General features: G+C 35.7%; 1 protein-coding gene and 1 long non-coding RNA gene across 23 annotated transcripts in view; one reads left to right on the top strand and one right to left on the bottom strand.

The window, feature by feature from the left end:
* The window catches only part of KLHL5 (kelch like family member 5), a 98,275-nt gene that overhangs the window by 31,644 nt on the left and 46,899 nt on the right, over positions 1 to 19,732 (top strand). For all 22 annotated transcript variants that reach the window (XM_047415754.1, XM_047415755.1, XM_047415749.1 and 19 more), the window contains 3 exon segments: positions 4,633 to 4,769; positions 5,493 to 5,689; positions 10,045 to 10,257. In XM_047415754.1, the coding sequence (XP_047271710.1) occupies positions 4,633 to 4,769; positions 5,493 to 5,689; positions 10,045 to 10,257 (547 nt within the window).
* LOC105374418 (uncharacterized) overlaps positions 1 to 19,732 on the bottom strand; it is a 32,695-nt gene that overhangs the window by 7,402 nt on the left and 5,561 nt on the right. Inside the window, exon 2 of the long non-coding RNA XR_925235.4 lies at positions 19,284 to 19,309. This is a non-coding gene — a long non-coding RNA (uncharacterized LOC105374418). The remainder of the gene's footprint in view (positions 1 to 19,283; positions 19,310 to 19,732) is intronic.

A 19,732-nucleotide genomic window follows, 5' to 3' on the forward strand; every position in this document is an offset into this window, starting at 1 on the left:
AAGTTTGTGGATATTTAGAAGAAGAAAAGCTGGTGAAGTGGACTAGCAAAAACTCTTAAGAGTTTTTAAAATAGCCATATCTATCCCAACTTCTGTTTGCTGATTTCCAAGAAGTATGAAAAGCAGTGCTAGGGAAAAAAAGCCTTTCCTACAAATTACATATTATTTCTTGAAGTAAGAAAAGGAAAAGAGCCATTTAATAAAGAATAATTCATTTTTTTATAATTCTGTATTCAGTTGTTCATTGTTAATCACCACTATGATTCTCAAAGGTTTTTTTTTTTTTTTTTGGATGCCCATCAAAACTAATTGACACTGTGTCCCAAAGGTTTTTTTTAAAAACCTTCCAAAGAGAGATAACATCGGAAAAAGCCTTCTAGACATTGGCTTAGGCAAAGACTTCATGACCAATAACCCAAAAGCAAATGCAACAAAAACAAAGATAAATAGATGGGACTTAATTAAACTAAAAAGCTTCTGCACAGCAAAAGAAAGAATGTCTGTAAGTTAACAGACAACCCACAGAGAGGGAGAAAATATTCACAATCTGTACATCCGACAAAGGACTAATATCCAGAATCTACCAAAAAACTCAAATAAATCAGAAAAAAAAAAACAGTCCCATCAAAAAGTGGGCTAAGGACATGAATAGATAGTTCTCAAAAGAAGATCTACAAATGGCCAACAAGCATATGAAAACATATTTGGCCGGGCGCGGTGGCTCATGCCTGTAATCCCAGCACTTTAGGAGGCTGAGGCAGGCAGATCACGAGGTCAGGAGATTGAGACCATCCTGGCTAACACAGTGAAACCCCGTCTCTACTAAAAATAACAAAAAAAAATTAGCCGGGCATGGTGGCAGGCACTTGTAGTCCCAGCTACTCGGGAGGCTGAGGCAGGAGAATGGTGTGAACCCAGGAGGCAGAGCTTGCAGTGAGCCAAGATCGCGCCACTGCACTCCAGCCTGGGTGACAGAGCAAGACTCCGTCTCAAAAAAAAAAGAAAACATGTTTAACATCACTAATGATCAGGGAGATGCAAGTCAGAACCACAAGGCAATACCACCTTACTCTTGCAAGAATGGCCACAATCATAAAATCGAAAAATAATCAATGTTGGCATAGATATTGGTGAAAAGGGGACACTTTTACACTGTTGGCAGGAATGCAAACTAGTGCAAACACTACAGAAAACAGTGTGGATATTCCTTAAAGAACTAAAGGTAAAAAAAAAAAAAAACAAAAAACAAACAAACAAAAAAACTAAAAGTAGATCTACCATTTGATCCAGCAATCCCACTACTAACTATCAATTCAGAGGAAAAGAAGTCATTATATGAAAAAGATGTTTGCACACAAGTTTATAGCACCACAATTTTCAATTGCAAAATTATAGAACCAGCCCAAATGCCCATCAATCAACAGGTGGATAAAGAAAATGTGGTGTATACATATATCATGGAATACTACTCACCTATAAAAAGGAATGAAATAATGGGATTCTCAGCAACCTGGATGGAACTGGAGACTTACTCTAAGTGAAGTAACTCAAGAATGGAAAACCAAACATCATATGTTCTCTCTCATAAGTGGGAGCTAAGCTATGAGGATGCAAAGGCATAAGAATGATACAATGAGGCCAGGCGCGATGGCTCACACCTGTAATCCAGCACTTTGGGAGGCTGAGGCAGGTGGATCACGAGGTCAGAAGTTCAAGACCAGCCTGACCAAGATGGTGAAACACCATCTTTACTAAAAATACAAAAATTAGCCCGGTGTGGTGGCAGGTACCTGTAATCCCAGCTCCTCGGGAGGCTGAAGCAGGAGAATTGCTTGAACCCAGGCAGCAGAGGTTGCAGTGAACCGAGATCACGCCACTGCACTCCAGCCTGGGTGACAGAGTAAGACCCTGTCTCAAAAAAAAAAAAGAATGATACAATAGGCCAGGCTTGGTAGGCTCAGGACCTGTAATCCTAGCGCTTTGGAAGGCCGAGGTGGGTGGATCACTTGAGGCCAGGAGTTCCAGACCAGCCTGGCCAACATGGCAAAGCCCCATCTCTACTAAAAATACAAAAACTAGCCAGGCGTGGTGGCGTGAACCTGTAGTCCCAGCCACTTGGGAGGCTGAATCATGAGTATTGCTTGATCCTGGGAGGCAGAGGTTGCAATGAGCCAAGATCATGCCACTGCACTCCAGCCTGGGCGTGGAGACAGAGTGAGACTCTGTCTTCACCCCCAGCAAAAAAGAATGATACAATGGACTTTGGGGACTTGGGGGAAAGGGTGGGAAGGGAGTAAGGGATAAAAGACTACACATTGGGTACAGTGTACTCTGCTTGGAGGATGGGTGCACCAAAATCTCAGAAATTACCACTAAAGAACTTATTCATGTAACAAAACACCACCCATTGCCCCAAAACCTACTGAAATAAAAAATAAAAAATAAAAAAACCTTCCAAAGTGGAAATAAAATCATTAGGAGGAATTGGCTTGGTATTAAAATTTTCAGTGACTCAATTAGCATACATTTATTGAGATACTACTATGTACTGTGACAGAAAGTCCAGGTTATGAACGTGGGTTTGTTAGAAAAGCTATTTCAACCCGAATTTCATAGAGGCACCTCAAATTCTGTATTTCCAAAACTGAACTCATTCATTACCTTACCTGCCATGCTTGTGTGAGCCATCAACATCTCACTTAGATGACTGATGCAAAAGCCTCCCAACTGGTCTCCCTGCCTCCACTCTTTGCCCCTACATTCTGTTTTAACGTAGCTACCTGAGTGATCCTTTAAAGTGGAACTCAGATTCAGTCATTTCTTTGATCAAATCTTTCATTGACTCCTCATGTCACTGAGTGTGAAAGGGAAAGTACATGCAATGGCGTACACGATCCAGCCTGCCGTATCTCTCTAGTATTGTCCTATTGGTCTCTGTCTTGTTCAGTCAGCATCAGCCACTCAGAACCTCTTGTAGTTCCTTGCATGTGCCAGGCATGCTGCTCCTACCTTTGGAATTTTGCACTATTTCTTCTGCCTGAAGGCTATTTCCAGATACCTGCATGACCAAATCCTAAACCTCCTTCACATCTTTGCCCGTGTCACTTTCCGGTGAGACCACCTATTTAAACTTACCACCCTTTCCCCATTTGCCTTTGCCCAACTTTTTTTCCCCTTAGCACTTATCACCTCTTAATGTACTACAGAATTTACTTCTACTGATCATTGTCTCCCTACCCTCTAAATGTAAGACTCCATAAGAGAAGGGATCTTTTGTCTTATTTTGTACCCAATGTATCTCAAGTATCTAGAACAGTACCCAGTATTTACTGGACACACATCAGTATTTGTTCATTAAATGAATGAATGAATGAATGAATGGGCAGTTTTCTGAAGAAGCAACCAATGGCCAATAAACATTTGAAAAACCTCACTAGCAATCAGATAAATGAAAATTGAAACAACAATGAGATATCATTTAACACTTTATGGCCAAAAATTTTAACATCTGATAATATTATGGGGAAAATGTTAGTCTTATACAATGCTGGTGGGGTCTAAATTGGTACCTTACTTTGGCAAATCTAATGGCTCAGCAGTGCCACTCCTGGGGAGGTAAGAAAATGGAATTAGAGAGGGAGCCAATGATTATCTGTATCATAATTTTTATTACTTTTAAAAATGAAAATGTTTATTTAAAATCTATTTAAGTGTGTTGACATGGAAATATCTTCAAGACATTATCCAGTGAAAAAATGCCTGTTTCAAAAATACGGCCAGGTGCTGTGACTCACTCCTGTAATCCTAGCTCTTTGGGAGGCTCAGGTGGGCTGATTACTTAAGGCCAGGAGTTCAAGACCAACCTGGCCATCATGGCGAAACTCCATCTCTACTAAAAATAAAAAAATTAGCTGGACATGGTAGTCACGTCTGTAATCCCAGCTACTCAGGAGGCTGAGGCAGGAGAATTGCTTGAACCTGGGAAGCAGAGGTTGCAGTGAGCCGAGATCATAGCATGGCACGCCAGCCTAGGAAACAGAATGAGACTGTCTCAAAAAAAAAAAAATTATAATTTAAATGTATTATATATGACCATTAAAAACTTAGAGACATAGCTAATATATTTTATAATTATAAAAAATATAGTTTTATAGTGTTATTACAACATAATTTTAAAACAAAATGCAGACTAAGATAATAATAGAATATTATAAAAGTTTAAAACTTGCTAGCAAAAACCATTTTCAAATGTCTCCCATATATTCACTACTTCTATAATTAAATTTTTTTAAAAATGGCTTAGTTTATTTTCAAAAATGATAAACAATAACTTTTAAATTTTTTCCTTTATATAGTTGATTTGATGCTATGGGCTTATAGCTTGTTTTCTGGATGTCATATAGCATTATTTGAGTAGTGAAGTGGTAAAGCATTCACCTCAGCAGAAAATTTGGTAATGGTAATTTATTATTCAAAGGAAGGAACTAGAGCATAAAGCAATTTGTCAAGCTTAAAATGCATTTCCTAGTACCATGCACTGTGAGTAACAAATAAAAAAGAAGCAGCAGCATTTATTAATGAACATCAACTCGAATGTGGTCATTGATTTTTTTTTTCCTAATGTGTTCACAGATTGGTGCTCTCCTCTGTCTCAGACTATTTTGCTGCCATGTTTACTAATGATGTCAGAGAGGCAAGACAAGAAGAAATAAAAATGGAAGGTGTAGAACCAAATTCGTTGTGGTCCTTGATCCAGTATGCTTATACAGGTAACGAGTCTGAAAATGTAAATTAAAACCTCTTAGATTTATGTTGTATTATTAGATTTCAGATTTCTGTTTTTAGAAAGCATGCCATAGCTAACAGTTAGTTCTGCTATTGTCATTACTACCCTTTGTATTTAACCTGGTGATGAATTAAAATTTCCATACTAAAACCTTTAAAATGGTTATCATAATTAAGTTTTTGAATGGCCCTTTAAAATGTTAATATAAAAATTAAATGAATTACATAGTGTCAAATTTTTGCATTTAAAATTTGAGAGTTGGCCAGGTGCAGTGGCTTATGCCTGTAAATCCCAGCACTTCGGGAAGCCAAGGCAGGACGGATGATCGCTTGAGCCCAGGAGTTCGATGCTGCAGTGAGCCATTGGTTACACCACTGCACTCCAGCCTGGGCAATAGAACAAGACCGTGTCTCAAAAAAAAAAAAAAATTGAGAGTTATACAGGTATATAGTAGACATAAGTTACTAACGTATCATTTTAAAATTCTGAAAATAAGCCATTAGTTTTTATTTTAGTAGATGTCTCAAGGAGCTAATAATTTTTTCCCCATTTAGTCCTTCTTTTCTTTTTGGGATGTCTTAAACCATGTAGGTCTGTAATGCATGTAATGAGCTCTTATATGGAACCACTACTGTTAACATCAATTATTTTATAAAATAAGGTTAATGTAGTTCCATGGCTAATGGAATTTCTTTTTATCATTAAGGCCGCCTTGAATTAAAAGAAGATAATATTGAGTGCCTGTTATCTACAGCTTGCCTTCTTCAGCTTTCACAGGTTGTAGAAGCATGCTGTAAGTTTTTAATGAAACAGCTTCATCCATCCAACTGTCTTGGAATTCGTTCTTTTGCTGATGCCCAAGGTTGTACAGATTTGCATAAAGTGGCTCACAATTATACTATGGTATGTATTTTTTGAAGGTGAGAAAGTCGATCCTCCATATGCATATTTCTTATTGTTGCAGGCTTATCTGCATGTTACTGTTTTCCCATGGCTCTGCCACGTGTCTTGCGATTGAGCTTCATTGCCTAGTGTGTCATATTTTCATTGAGTTATAATGGGAAAGCACCAAGTAATACTTCTCGTGGGTATCTGAATCAAGCCCTAAGTTACTGCAGTCACTGGGAAGCAGAACAGTGGCCTAGGACTGTTCCATTAAGATTTTCAGATTTGCTGCTTTTTAAAATAGGACTCTCCCCAAACATTTTACTTTGCTGCACATGGATGAATTTCAGGATTGTTCACATATTCACTGATAGAAATTGGTGACAGAGGTTGCAGCATATTGGTAGAGGACAAATGGGAGGCTTTTTGTTAAGGATAAATCTGACTATGTATAAACTATTTACAGCCATGTAGAATGATGTTTTTATTCATTATAGCAAATTATGTGCTCAATAAATCATAGAAGAGGTTCTGATTCAGTAGCCTGAAGGATGATAAAACGAAATAATCTGTACAACAAACCCCCATGATACAAGTGTACCTGTATGACAAACCTTCACATGTACCCCTGAACTTAAAAGTTAAAAAATGGATTGACCTAGGATAGTAAGAAAATAAGGGCATGTTGAGAGCATAGTGTTAGGACCACCCTCTGTGGTCTTAACAGTAGAGGGGTGCAGGCAAGGGAGGGTGTTATGGGTTTTTGAGGAATGTTGCCACACTGTAGCAGTTAGTTCTTCACACCTGGGCAATGACTGAAGAGTGTTGCTTTAAATGCTTCAGTTTAGGGCAATACAGTTTCTAAGAGAAGAAAAAATGTGAATATTCACATACATATGTACAGTTATGGATATTACCAATTTTATCAACATTTAAGAAATGTTATTTTGCCTACCCTCTCCTCCGTCGTTCCACTGAGTTGGGATATGAAGAGATTGAGAGTGCTTTAGGAATCTTTCATTAGAGAAATAGAGATTTGGAAAAATTGTAAGAATAGGTATTTACAAACTATTGGCAAGATCAATTCTGTCTACTTCATGAGCTTGGTGTGAGGATTAGATGAGTTAATGGAATTTTAACACTCAGAACATTGATTGGCATGTCATATATCCAGTCAGTGAGTCTCATTCCATTGTTGTCATCATCATTATATAGATTTCCTCTATCCAAAACAATAGAAAATTATGGGAGGGAACAAAAGCACTCACAAAACCACAGCCTTTAATGACTGGTTTTCCTCCCTGTGGTGTAATCATTTCTCAGGAATTTTTTATGATAGTCACAGAGTCTCAACTGAAAAAATAAAGAGATTGTACAACAGGATGATAATATATAGCCCTAGCATGCTATTATGTTGACATTTTAAAAATTAAGTCCATTGAAATGTTTTTTTCCCTCGGTCTTTATCACTCTTTATAGATTCTCATTTTAACCATACACCTGCAGTTTCAACTACTTTTTTGAATGAGATGAATATAAATAAAGTTGGATTTTTTTCTTCAAAATCAGTTTAGAATTTGAATAATCATCTTTTTTCTAGGAAGGTGTTTTATTCAGGTGAAAACATTTGTATGCATTTAGGTCACTCCTGTTGTTTACAGTAGAGGCATGATTGCTGCTTTAAGGCTTACACAGAAATTAAATTTAAATTAGCTGGATGTTTTTAAAGCTATTTTCATAGCCAATTAGTTGTGTTAGATTTTTTTTCTCAAGGCCATTATTTAACATTATTCAGTTTTAACAGAGACATGAAATTGAATTCTAATAACAATAAGTAATTTAGAGGCAGCTTGTCTGATTTGAATTGTTGCTATGGGAACCAAATGAAAATGTATAGCAAAATTCAATCTTCAATTTAAATAAATCCCTCCGTAATTTCAGTTGCCTAAAAACTATTCCAAAGGGGGAAAGGTCACAATGCTAGCAAGCGTTTGGTAACATGATAGTTGTGTATATTATAATATGGATTTAAAATGTAAAGCATAATGCCACGCCAGTGAGTTCAATCAGTGAATGGTGCGTGGACTGGGGATGTTCACTGATCCTGCACGAATACAAGTGGTAAAAAATGAGGAGTCCTCTCCAGGATCCATGAATCTGGAAACCTGTTTTCTCATTCTGCCTGCCACTGAACATGACCTGGAGCAAGTCATGTAACCTCTAAAAAAGTCTTAAGACTGGTTGTATGATTACAACTATTTAATGTCATTTTGAATTTATGACACAAATAAAAACATTTAATTTTAAAACTTAAAATTGTCTTTCTCAATCTAGAAGACTTATAAAAAACATTGAGATCTGCTAAAGTAGCTGCTTCAAAACCAAATTAATACTTTTGAAAAATACTTTGTATTCAACCTTGAGTTCAGTAGTATTTCATAAGTTGTTGAAAAACTCAGTTTTCACTTAATGTAAGTTATACTAGAATGGAATGGGCATTATTCTGAAATAGATATATCAACAAATAATTCGTCAAGTGCATATTTACGTGATAGTCCTTTTGTTACTGATGAAATCCAATTAATGCCATTTGAAAGTATGGCATAGTTATACCAATGTATAAATCTGTCAATTATACTTTATATGTTTAAGGAATTGGAAATATATATTATTATTTCAGTTTCTTCACAATCTCACATAACATTTTATCATAAGTACCTTTCCATGTACCTACGTGATCTTTGTCTTTGAAATTTTTAATGCTTATTTAATATACAGCTCCCTATAACTGAACATATAGGCTATTTCCCATTTTTTACCATTGTAAATAATAATACAGAGAAGTATTGTTAGGTAGTCAGCTTTGCTTTTTGCTTACAAATTATTATTAAGGTTTAAATTACAAGTGGGATAACTGGGTTGAGAGTTTCAACATTTTTGTAGATCTTGCTATGTGTTACCAAAATAATGTCAGTATGCAATTCAATAGAACCTTTTGCTTGAAGCCATTCTAGCACTGAAGTTTTATTAAAATATGTTTCTGAAAATGATAATCCATCATTTAAAATAGACTCATTTAGACATCCTTGAACAAATCATGATAAATTGAAGCAATTGAAATTCATTAATTATTCATGAATGGTTTTCCCCTTTAGAACTTCTACTGATAGGAATGTCAAGCTAATATATATTTTAGATTAGTACCTCACTCAGGTTACCACAGGCTATATGGAAAATATAATTCTCATTTTAATATAGAAGATAGTTATTGATAGTCCTTATTTCTAGCTCTAATTTAAACAGCTTTAGCTTCTTTAGTAAACCTCTGCATGCTGAGACAGCGATAATACATCAGGAAATATGAGAAAAACATTAAGGGACAATATGTGTCTAGTATTTGCATTTATAACCGTGTCAACTATCCATTCATTAAGACTTAAAACCTTTCAAATCAGATGGTATGTTTTCCTTCTCTCCAGATTATTTAGCATAATAGCCTATCAAGGTCATCTCACACCTAAGGGCATTTTTATTTCCCATTTCAAATTATAGAGGATTTGATTCTAACGTGAGGCCAGGACTGAGTCATCTTCAGTCTAATGTCCTGATCCCAGGGCATTATAGGTCACTACTTTTTTTTCCACCTTTGGTCCTTTTTCCTGTGAGACCAAAAGAGCTTTGTAAATAAATTATATTAGAAGAGATTAAAAATTTAAAAACAGACCCTTAAAAGAGATTAAAAATTCGAAAACAGACCCAAAATCCTAGATGATCTTATAAATATCATTAAAACGATCTTGAAGACCGATTTGACTGTCGTATAACTCTAAGAACAAATACTCATTCCAGGGAGGATCTGAGAAGACATCTGTGGTCTAGAATGATTCTGGGAAATGTAGCCACTCTGGAGGCCATTTCTTAGTAAGAGAAGTAACCAAGCTCTCTAGGTATTTGGCTCCACTGCTGGCCGAATTCTTCAGCACCCACAAATCCAAACCGCAAATCCACCCACTTCTGGTGTTAGAGTATCATACATCTCAGTGTCTAATTCATTATTTCTCTCTTCCTTCAAAAGAATTGCCAAAAGTATTTCCTAACTTGAGTGAAGTAACACTTAAATGTCCTAGGTCCATTTTTTAAATGTAATAAGTGATACAACACTTTAATTCTACTTGCATATGTTTAACAACATAATTGCAGTTTAATTTTTTTTTCTCTGCTGTGTTTCTTTCCTAACAAGTAAGTATTACATTGTAAGGTCTAAAATATAAATTGTGTGTTGGTAGCTAATATAAAAAGCTTTTACTTTCTTCTAAGTAAATTGTGAAGGTCAGAAGGAACAATATTGTTTATCTGCTATTTCTTCCCTCTAGGAGCATTTCATGGAAGTAATCAGAAACCAGGAATTTGTATTATTACCAGCCAGCGAAATTGCAAAGCTCTTGGCTAGTGATGACATGAACATTCCTAATGAGGAGACAATATTGAATGCACTTCTTACTTGGGTCCGTCATGATTTGGAACAGAGACGGAAAGATCTAAGTAAACTTTTGGCTTATATTAGGCTACCTCTTCTTGCACCACAGGTAATTAATAGGCACTTGTTTATAGGAATTTTTCTTTGCCTATTCTATCAAAGAAAATAATTGTACATGTATTCCTATGAAACGTGTAGGTGAAAAGATAGTGAGCTAACAAAATTCTGCTTATGCTTTCAGTCCAGAAGATCTGGCTACTTAAATTGCTTCAATTAAGTAACATTCTTTTTTTTTTTTTTTTTTTTTTTTGAGATGGAGTCTCACTTTGTTGCCCAGGCTGGAGTGCAGTGGCATGATCTCAGGTCACTGCAACCTCCGCCTCCCCAGTTCAAGTTATTCTCCTGCCTCAGCCTCTCAAGTAGCTGGGACTACAGGTGCATGCCACCATGCCTGGCTAATTGTTGTATTTTTAGTAGCGATAGGGTTTCACCATATTGGCCAGGCTGGTCTCAAACTCCTGACTTCAAGTGATCTGCCTGCCTTGGCGTCCCAAAGTGCTGGGATTACAGGCATGAGCCGCTGTGCCCGGCCTCAATTAAGTAACATTCTTGATTTTGGGTTAGTAACTTAATTGACTCAGCTACAAACCTATCCTACCAATTGGAGGAGAATTACCAAAACTGCTAATAAAAGGAGCACTGGACTCTTGAAACCAGAAAATTTAGATTAATTTCTTTGCCACATGTTTATTAAGTATCCACTAAATATTGGATTCTGGTGATATATAGATTAACAAGGTATATTAATAGTCAAAGCTCTGACATTTTAAAACTCTGTGACTTGGCATATTCACACAGCTGAGTTTCTTCATCTGTCAAGTAGAGATAACATCTTCCCTGACTACCTCACAGGATTATTATAAGGATCAGAAACATGCTCTATGATATAAAATGTGCTATGAATAAAAATATTATTTCAGAATTAAGAGATATCTAGTTGGTGTGTTCAAGGCAATCAGTCATAACATTTACATGCATAGTTTTCCCCTTTTTACAATTTTCACTGGAATATATAAAAATTTTCCCTGCATACTTTGCTGCCTATCTCAAGGCCTTGAATGCTGAAAGAGGTCTTGAAAGCAGAAAAAGAATGAGCTGTTACTGTTCAAGTTCAGACTTTCTTTTTCTTTTTTTAATTTAAAGTGTCACAAATGTTCTCATATTTGCAGTTATCTTGAGCATAATGTATTATTTCCTGCTGTTGTGAGCAAAAGTTACTGTTTGTTTTTTACAGAGACAGTAATCAATATGGATGCTTTCTAAGACCTTCCTCTTCAGAAATAGAATATTGTATGAATACATAGAACTGAAACTGCATGTGTTGATGATAATTCAGGAAAAGTAACATAATAAAATGTTTCTCTTGAAATCAGATTTTTAAAAGGGAGTTACATTTTTACTGCTACTTAGCAGATTTTTAAAAATTCTTTCTAGATGAAATCAAACCGAATTTGAAAAATCCGATTCGACTTTGAGAAGAATCTGTGTAATTAAGTAACCTGACAATTGACTTCACTTCTGTAGTTTCAGATATTTATGATACTATATTTGCATGACTCTCATAGACCTTTAAAATATCTCTTATCCAGGATACTGCTGATAATCCTAGCCATAAGTTCTTAGGGTTGAAAGGCATTTTGGAGATCATTTGTTCGAACACCTGTTGTACAAATGAAGTGACAGACCAAAAAAGTAAATCCATATGTTCAAAATTACAATGTGATTGCATAAATTCCTCTCTTTCTGCATTGTAGTTTTATTTAGTTTTTGCTATTTGGCTAACATCATAGGGCTAATAAGAGGCAGAGGTGGGACTTGAACCCAAGTACAGTTCTGTGCCTTGTCCACTAAACCATTCTGCCTCTTGAGTGTACTGTGTGTAAAATTGCTGGGGGTGGCAGGGAGATGGTATCAGATGGTGGAAGAAATAGATTAAAAAAATAAATCAGTGATTATAATGAGATGAAGACTGTGACAGATACATGAATGTGGCATTCTGAAAATAATAGAAGTAGCCCACCAAAAAGAGGGGGTTTTGACGAGAAGGCAGGGAGAATTTCTTACAGTGTTATTTGATCCACATTATGAATTAGCCACCCAAAAGAGGGGGCATGATAACCAGGAGAAATAGGAGCTTGTACTTCATCATGAAGTCATGAGCAAATATATTGTGTTTTGGAATTTGAAGGTAGTTTGCATGGCTGGACTGCAGAAATAAAAGGGGATAAAGTAAAGAGATGAGGCTGAAGAGGGGAATGGACCAGAACATGGAGAACCTCTAGTTATGCCAAGGAGTTTGAATTTTATCCTGAAAGCAATGAGGAAGCACTAAAGGATATTTTAATAGGAATTTTATTTCAGAAATTTTATTTTATTTCAGAAAGATTACTATAACTGCATTGTGGAGAATGGATCTGAGGGGTCAAAGCCAAAAACCAATTAGGAAGGCTTTTGGAATTCAGACAAGTGAATTAGGCACACTGTGGCAGTGGATATAGATAGAAATTACCAGACTCAAGAGCTATTTATGAGGTCAAATTGACAAAACTTCATGACTGAATGGTGAAGGTATACAAAAAGAGGAATCAAGAATGACTCTGATTTGTGCAATTAGGTTAATTAAAAGGTGCCGGCAATTGAAACAAGGAATATAGAATGAAGAGCTAATTCAGGGAATGGGGAAGGAAGTTGAAGAATCATGTTCCCAAAGCTTCTTGGCACCTTTAATTCTTTTAGAGTCTAAGGACTCTGAAGTCCTTAGACTTTTTTGAAAACTACTTCCTTAGATTGTTGAATCCAAAGGCAAGAGAATGACACTGGCCAAGGAGTACACAAGAGTGCTTGGGATGGAACCCTAGGAAACACAGTATATAGTGGTTGTTCCCAAACCTGGCTAATTAACTGAGTGTTATTAAAAATTGATGTCACACTTGAAAAAGGACGAAGTTTTATCATCATCCTTTGCTACAGAGAAGACAAGGAAGAAAAATCCAGTGGATTAGCCCAGTGGTTCTTAAAGTGTGATCCCTAACAGGAAGATCAGCACTACTGGGGAACTTCTTGGAAATACAGATTAGGCCTCACCCCACACCTACTGAATATGAAACTGTGGGGCTGGGGCCTGGCAAATGGTGTTTTAATAAGTCTTCCAGTGGCTTTGATGCATCCTCAAGTTTGAGAACCATTATCCACCACAAGTAGTGGTGATGGAAGCCACATTGCCTTGTATAATTTAAACAAGTTACTTTACCTCTCAGAACATTTTTCTTTCCTACAGTGATAATACTGTGCTGCAGTATTGTGACATTTAGAGATATTGTCAGGGTTGATTTTTTTTCATTGCCAAAAGTGAATGGCAAGATTGCAGAATTAGAGTTATCAAGTAATAAAGTTTTGAAGTAGACACTAAAATAATGAAGAAAATGTTGGATTGTATTCGGTATGTTTTATTTTAAAAGGTAGGAAAATATAACAATCATTAAATTGCCATATGCCAATCAAATAATAAATGACTAATATTTTAAAAATTGGGATTAGGTCTGTTTACCAAGAGAATTTATTTTTGTGAAATAGTTCCTTTTCCAATGATACCAACTAAATGAGATTTTATTCTACTCTGTTAATATGAAACATTCCACTTACCCTAGCTAGAAGGGATTCAACTTACATACAGTAATTTTATCATCGTGTCTCCAACAGTAGACTCTTAAAATAATATAGGAAATAATGCCTGTGATTGTAATCCTCTACCAAATGATCCTTTTTGTATGGTTTTTTTTTTTTTTTTTAGACTGAGTTTTGCTCTTTTTGCCCAGGCTGGAGTGCGGTGGCACAATCTCATCTCACTGCAACCTCTGCCTCCTGGGTTCAAGAGATTCTCCTGCCTCAGCCTCCCGAGTAGCTGGGATTAACAGGCACATGCCACCACCCCCAACTAATTTTGTATTTTTAGTAGAGATGGGGTTTCACCATGTTGGCCAGGCTGGTCTTGAACTCCTGACCTCAGGTGATCCACCCACCTCGGCCTCCCAAAATGCTGGGATTACAAACTTGAGCCACCATGCCCAACCTTTGTATGGCTTTTTAAAAAACTCTGAATAATCCAGAAGAGAAGTATTTATGGTCATTTTATTTTATATTTTGAGGCAGGGTCTCACTCTATTTCCCAGGCTGGACTGCTGTGGTATGATCATGGCTCACTGCAGCCTCAACCTCCTAGGCCCAAGAGATCCTCCCACCTCAGCCTCCTGAGTAGCTGGAACTACAGACACACACCACCAACACCACCATGCCCAGTCAGTTTTTAATTTTTTTTTTTTTTTTTTTTAAGACAGAGTCTCACTCTGTTGCACAGGCTGGAGTGCAGTGACACGATCTCTGCTCACTGCAACCTCCCATCTCCCGGGTTCAAGCAATTCTCGTACCTCAGCCTTCTCAGTAGCTGGGATTACAGGCGCATGCCACTACGCCTGGCTAATTTTTGTATTTTTAGTAGAGACAGGGTTTTACCATGTTGGCCAGGCTAGTCTTGAACTCCTGACCTCAAGAGATCCACCCACTTCGGTCTCCCAAAGTGCTGGAATTACAGGTGTGAGCCACCATGCCCAGCCGGTTTTTTAAATTTTTTTGTGGAGAAAGGGTCTCACCATGTTGCCCTGAGTGGTCTTCAACTACTGGACTCAAGTGATCCTCCCACCTCGGCTTCTCAAAGTACTGTGATTGATTTTATTTTACTTTTGAAAGCATTCCAAACATTTCAATTTGATCAAATTTTAAACCATGTGAATAGAAATACAGACATATATACATTATTTAAAAGATTTTGACACCTAAATTATGAACGTTTTCAATGTTTAGCCTGAATTTATAAGTATCTGAGTCTCCACTATTCTGCTCTCAGTTTAGTATTGTTTTCTACAGAAAGTCAGAAATATAAAATGAGTCAGTATTTACCTTTAGCATTCTTTTAGTTTACAAGGTCTTGATACTAAAACAACTTTTTTTTTTTTTTGGACAGGGTCTCACTCTGTCACCCAGGCTTGAGTGTAGTGGCACAATCATAGCTCACTGCAGCCTCAAACTCCTGGGCTCAAGTGATCCTCCCACCTCAGCCTCTCGAGTAGCTGAGACTACAGTCACTGTGCCCCATCACACATCTGACTAGTTTTTTTTTTTTTTTTTTTTTTTTGTAGAGACAGCGTCTCACTTTGTTGCCCAAGCTCTCTCAAACTCCTGGCCTCAAGCAATCCTCCCGCCTAAGCCTCCCAATATGCTGGGATTATAGGCATGAGCCACCTCGCCCAGCCTCCAAAACATTTTTTTAACATCTATAGAGTTAATAAATTATTCACATTCTATTTGTGTTTGAGGGGACAGTTTTAGAGCAATAGTCATAAGGTGAACAAATACGAAAGTGAGGATAAAAATTTACAAAATGAAAATTTATTCCTGTATTATGAATGCTTTCAGTTTAATAATTTGCTCTTCTTTTGTAGCAGAGAAGGCATTTAGTATTCACCAAAAATGCAGAGTTCATGAAAGTATATATTTTGTAGTTTTTCTCTCAGTGTCTTCTGAATAATTTTCTAAATGATACCTGGTTCCTCCCATTTGATTAATCTGATACTTAGATTAATGGCTTTTCTTACTCAAATAAAATTAATCCTACTTATTCATAATTTATAGATACTATCTGTATATTAGGAAATATACTTTGCTTCAAATTGCAGTTACTATTAAGTCTCCCAAGAGTTTACTTTCTACATTTTTTTCACATTTATTTTTATTTAGAAAGGACTAAAGTAATTGTATATAATAGAATTAACATAAACATTAAAATTAACCTTAATGAGCCAACTTTATGCATATTCACTAATGGTTTCTGTGACAAGTATAACTAGGTTTTGCGTGCATAGAAAAAAATGTGGAGTAATTAATACCAAAATGTATATTCTGGTGTAGGTCGGGGACTTAGGTCTTAATTTGGCTTTTTTGCCTTTCGTATGCAGTGCTAGTTTCCAAATACCACCAACTTTTTTATAGTGACTCTTTTTAGAGACTGTTTCTCTCTTCGTCTATAAAAACATGAACATATCATCAACATCATTAGTCACTAGGAAAATGCAAAATAAAACCACATTTTCCACCTTCCCGAATGGCTAAAATAGAGACAAACTAACAATTGGCGAGGATGTGCAAAAACAGGAACCCTCGTACAGTGCTGGTGGGAATGTAAGACGGGGCTGCCACTTTAGAAAACAGTTAGGTTGTTTCTTAAAAAGTTAAACATAAATTTGCCATATGCCCCAGCAGTTCTACTCCTAGGTAATAATTACCCAAGAGAAATATATCCACACAAAGACTTGGACATAAACGTTCTTGGCAGCTTTATTCATAATAGCTTGAAACTGGAAGCAACCTAAGAAGCATCCATCAACTGGTGAATGGATAGATAAAATGAGGAGTACCCCGATGGTGGAATATTACTCAACAGTAAAAAGAAATGAAGCACTGATACGAGGAGCTACAGCAGGGACAAGTCTCAAAAGTGTGCTAAGGGAAAGAAGCAAGACACCAGAGTCTCCATATTGTATGATTCTCTGTATATGAAATGTCCAGCAAAAGCAAATCTGTAGAGACAGATTAGTGCTTGGGAGAGAAGATGGGAATGAGGATCAACAGTAAATGGGCATGTGGGATCTAATTGAGGTGATGAAAATGTTTCAAAACTGTTTTATGGTAATGGTTCCACAACTTGGTAATTTACTACAAATCATTGAATTGTGTACTTTGAATGGATAAATTAGGACACGTAAAATATGCCCCAATAAAATTGTAAAGAAATATATTGTCAAATACAACCCACAGTGTATCAAAAGGATACACTCTGACCAGAAAGGTCTTTTTCCAGGAATACTAAAATGATTATTAAGAAATCTATGAAGGGGCAAGGCATGGTGGCTCATGCCTGTGATCCCAGCACTGTGGGAGGCCAAGGTGGGAGGATCACTTGAGGTCAGGAGCTCAAGACCAGCCTAGCCAACATGGTGAAACCCTGTCTCTACTAAAAATACAAAAATTAGCTGGATGTGGTGGTGCATGCCTGTAATCCCAGCTACTGAGGAGGCTGAGGCAGGAGAATTGCCTGAACCTGGGAGGCAGAGGTTGCAGTGAGCTGAGATTGCGCCACCACACTCCAGCCTGGGTGACACAGAGACTTCCCGTCTCAAAAAAAAAAAATCTATGGAAGTCTATATTATCTTTATTGAATATAATAAAAATAGATGACTAAATGTTACAGCAACTATTATCCTAAATAATGAAACACTAAAACCATATCAATTCAAACCAGAAACAAGATACTCTGTATCGGCCTAATTATTTAACATTTTTTAGAAGGCTTTAGCAATTGCAATAATAAAATAATTGGCATACACATTAGAAAAAGATACTCAACTATCCCTATTTGGTGACAGTTATGATTATTTGCATAACACGTAGAGTTTAATAAGGGAATTTGGTAAAGTAATAGGTTAATACAAGTGTAATCAGTAGATTTTCTCTCCTGCAAAACATATATGAAATAAACTTTTAAAACCCATTCCCAATAGCAATGAAAATAATAAAATATATAGGAAATATATAATCAAGAAAGGTATAATATGTAGAAACCTATAGAATAAATGGAAAGGCTTCTTGAACAGAAAGACTTAATATAAAAATATCAGTTCTCCAAAAATTAATAAAATTAATAAATTTAATTAATAAATAAATTTAAGTTCTTATTAGAATTCCAAGAGAATCAGGATAAAAAGAACTGAATAAATTTGTCTTAAGTTTACATGAAAAATAAAGGCACAAAAATACCGAAGGAAGCTATGAAAGTTAACAGCGAGGGAAAACTTAAAAATACTGGGTATCAGAATATGCTATAAAGACACTGTAATATACTATTTAGAAATAGGAATAGACAAATAGATCGATAGAACAGAATAAAGAATAAAAAAAAACAAATCTCATATACTTTGAGATCTATTTATGAGAATGTAGTATGGCCAAGATTCAATTCAGCTGGAAATGGAGGGGGTTATTTAATAAGTGGTACAGAACTGGCTACTGATCTTAAAGAAAATAAAAATGCTCCTCCACTCATACTCTATTTAAACATTAATTTCAAAAAAATGAATTTCACATGGATCAATGGCCTAAATGAAAGAAAGCAATAAAATCTTGCCAGATAATCCAGAAGACTACATCTACAAACTGAAGCAAAAAGACAAGACTTTGTAACCAGGACTATGAAAAGAAAGACACATATTTGATGACCTAAATATGAAAAATTATTTGAATGGCAAAAGTATTATGAAACAACCTTAATAGACAAATGATTAAAAATCTAGAAAAATACAATTGAAAAATAAAGGATTAGTGTGTGTATTACAAGGAACTCTTAAAATTTTTAATCAAAAGATAGTAGAAAAGAGGCAGATAAAGGAAGAAAAAAGTACAAATGGTCAAAATATTTTAAAATGCTTATATTCACTTATCAGGAAAATTCAAATTAAAGGGAAAATGTGATATCATTAACAAAAAGAGCTAAAACACTTATTCCTGGCAGGAATGTTGTGCTCTTGTGCTCTTATACATGGCTGTAATGGAATGTGAGCCACTTTGCTATACATGGCTATAATGGAATGTGAGCCACTTTGGAAAATCTGACAACATTGATCATACACATAGACACACACAGATACACATATATGTGCACACACATGCATACATAACATACATACATATATACTTTGACCCACCTGGAGTCAATTCAATTCTTACAAATCTATCCTATAAAGGTAAAAATTAATACATAAGGACTTCTGTACTGGACTTGTTTTTAGTAGCAGAAAAAAGTATGTTTACATATACACGTATATATATACATATATATACATATGTATATATGTATGTACATACTGAAACAAAATTGATGTCTGTAATAAGGAAATGGCTAAAAAATTAGCATATCTATATACTATGGAGTATTATTCAGTTATTAAAAAGAATAAATCAGAACTATACCTTTTCAGAAGACCTGGAGGAATTTTCTTGAGATAATGTTGAGTAAAGATGGTAAGATGCAGCAAAGTATATAATAAAACAATTAGTAAAAGAAAAAACTGTAAAAATTATTACATATATTTATATATGTTATACATATAAATGTATGAGAATTATGTCAGCAGAGGTTTGCATAAATATGAAGAAAATATGAAAGGCTGCACACCAGGTTGTTTATAAGGCAGGGAAGAATTGCAGGATGGGGAGGGGCAATGGAGAACCAAGCACAAAAGGAAAAGATTTTTAATTTTTTTTGTTTTATTTAATTTCCAATGTGATCATATTTTCATTTTATTTTTTAAAAGACAAGGTGTAATCATATTTGTGCTAAACATATAAAAATTGTATTTGTGTTATATAAATATATAAAGCTGGATTCAGTGACACAAAAGGGATTTTAATGTTTTTAG

The sequence above is a fragment of the Homo sapiens genome, chromosome 4 (genome assembly GCF_000001405.40).
Source record: "Homo sapiens chromosome 4, GRCh38.p14 Primary Assembly".
Lineage (NCBI taxonomy): Eukaryota > Metazoa > Chordata > Mammalia > Primates > Hominidae > Homo > Homo sapiens.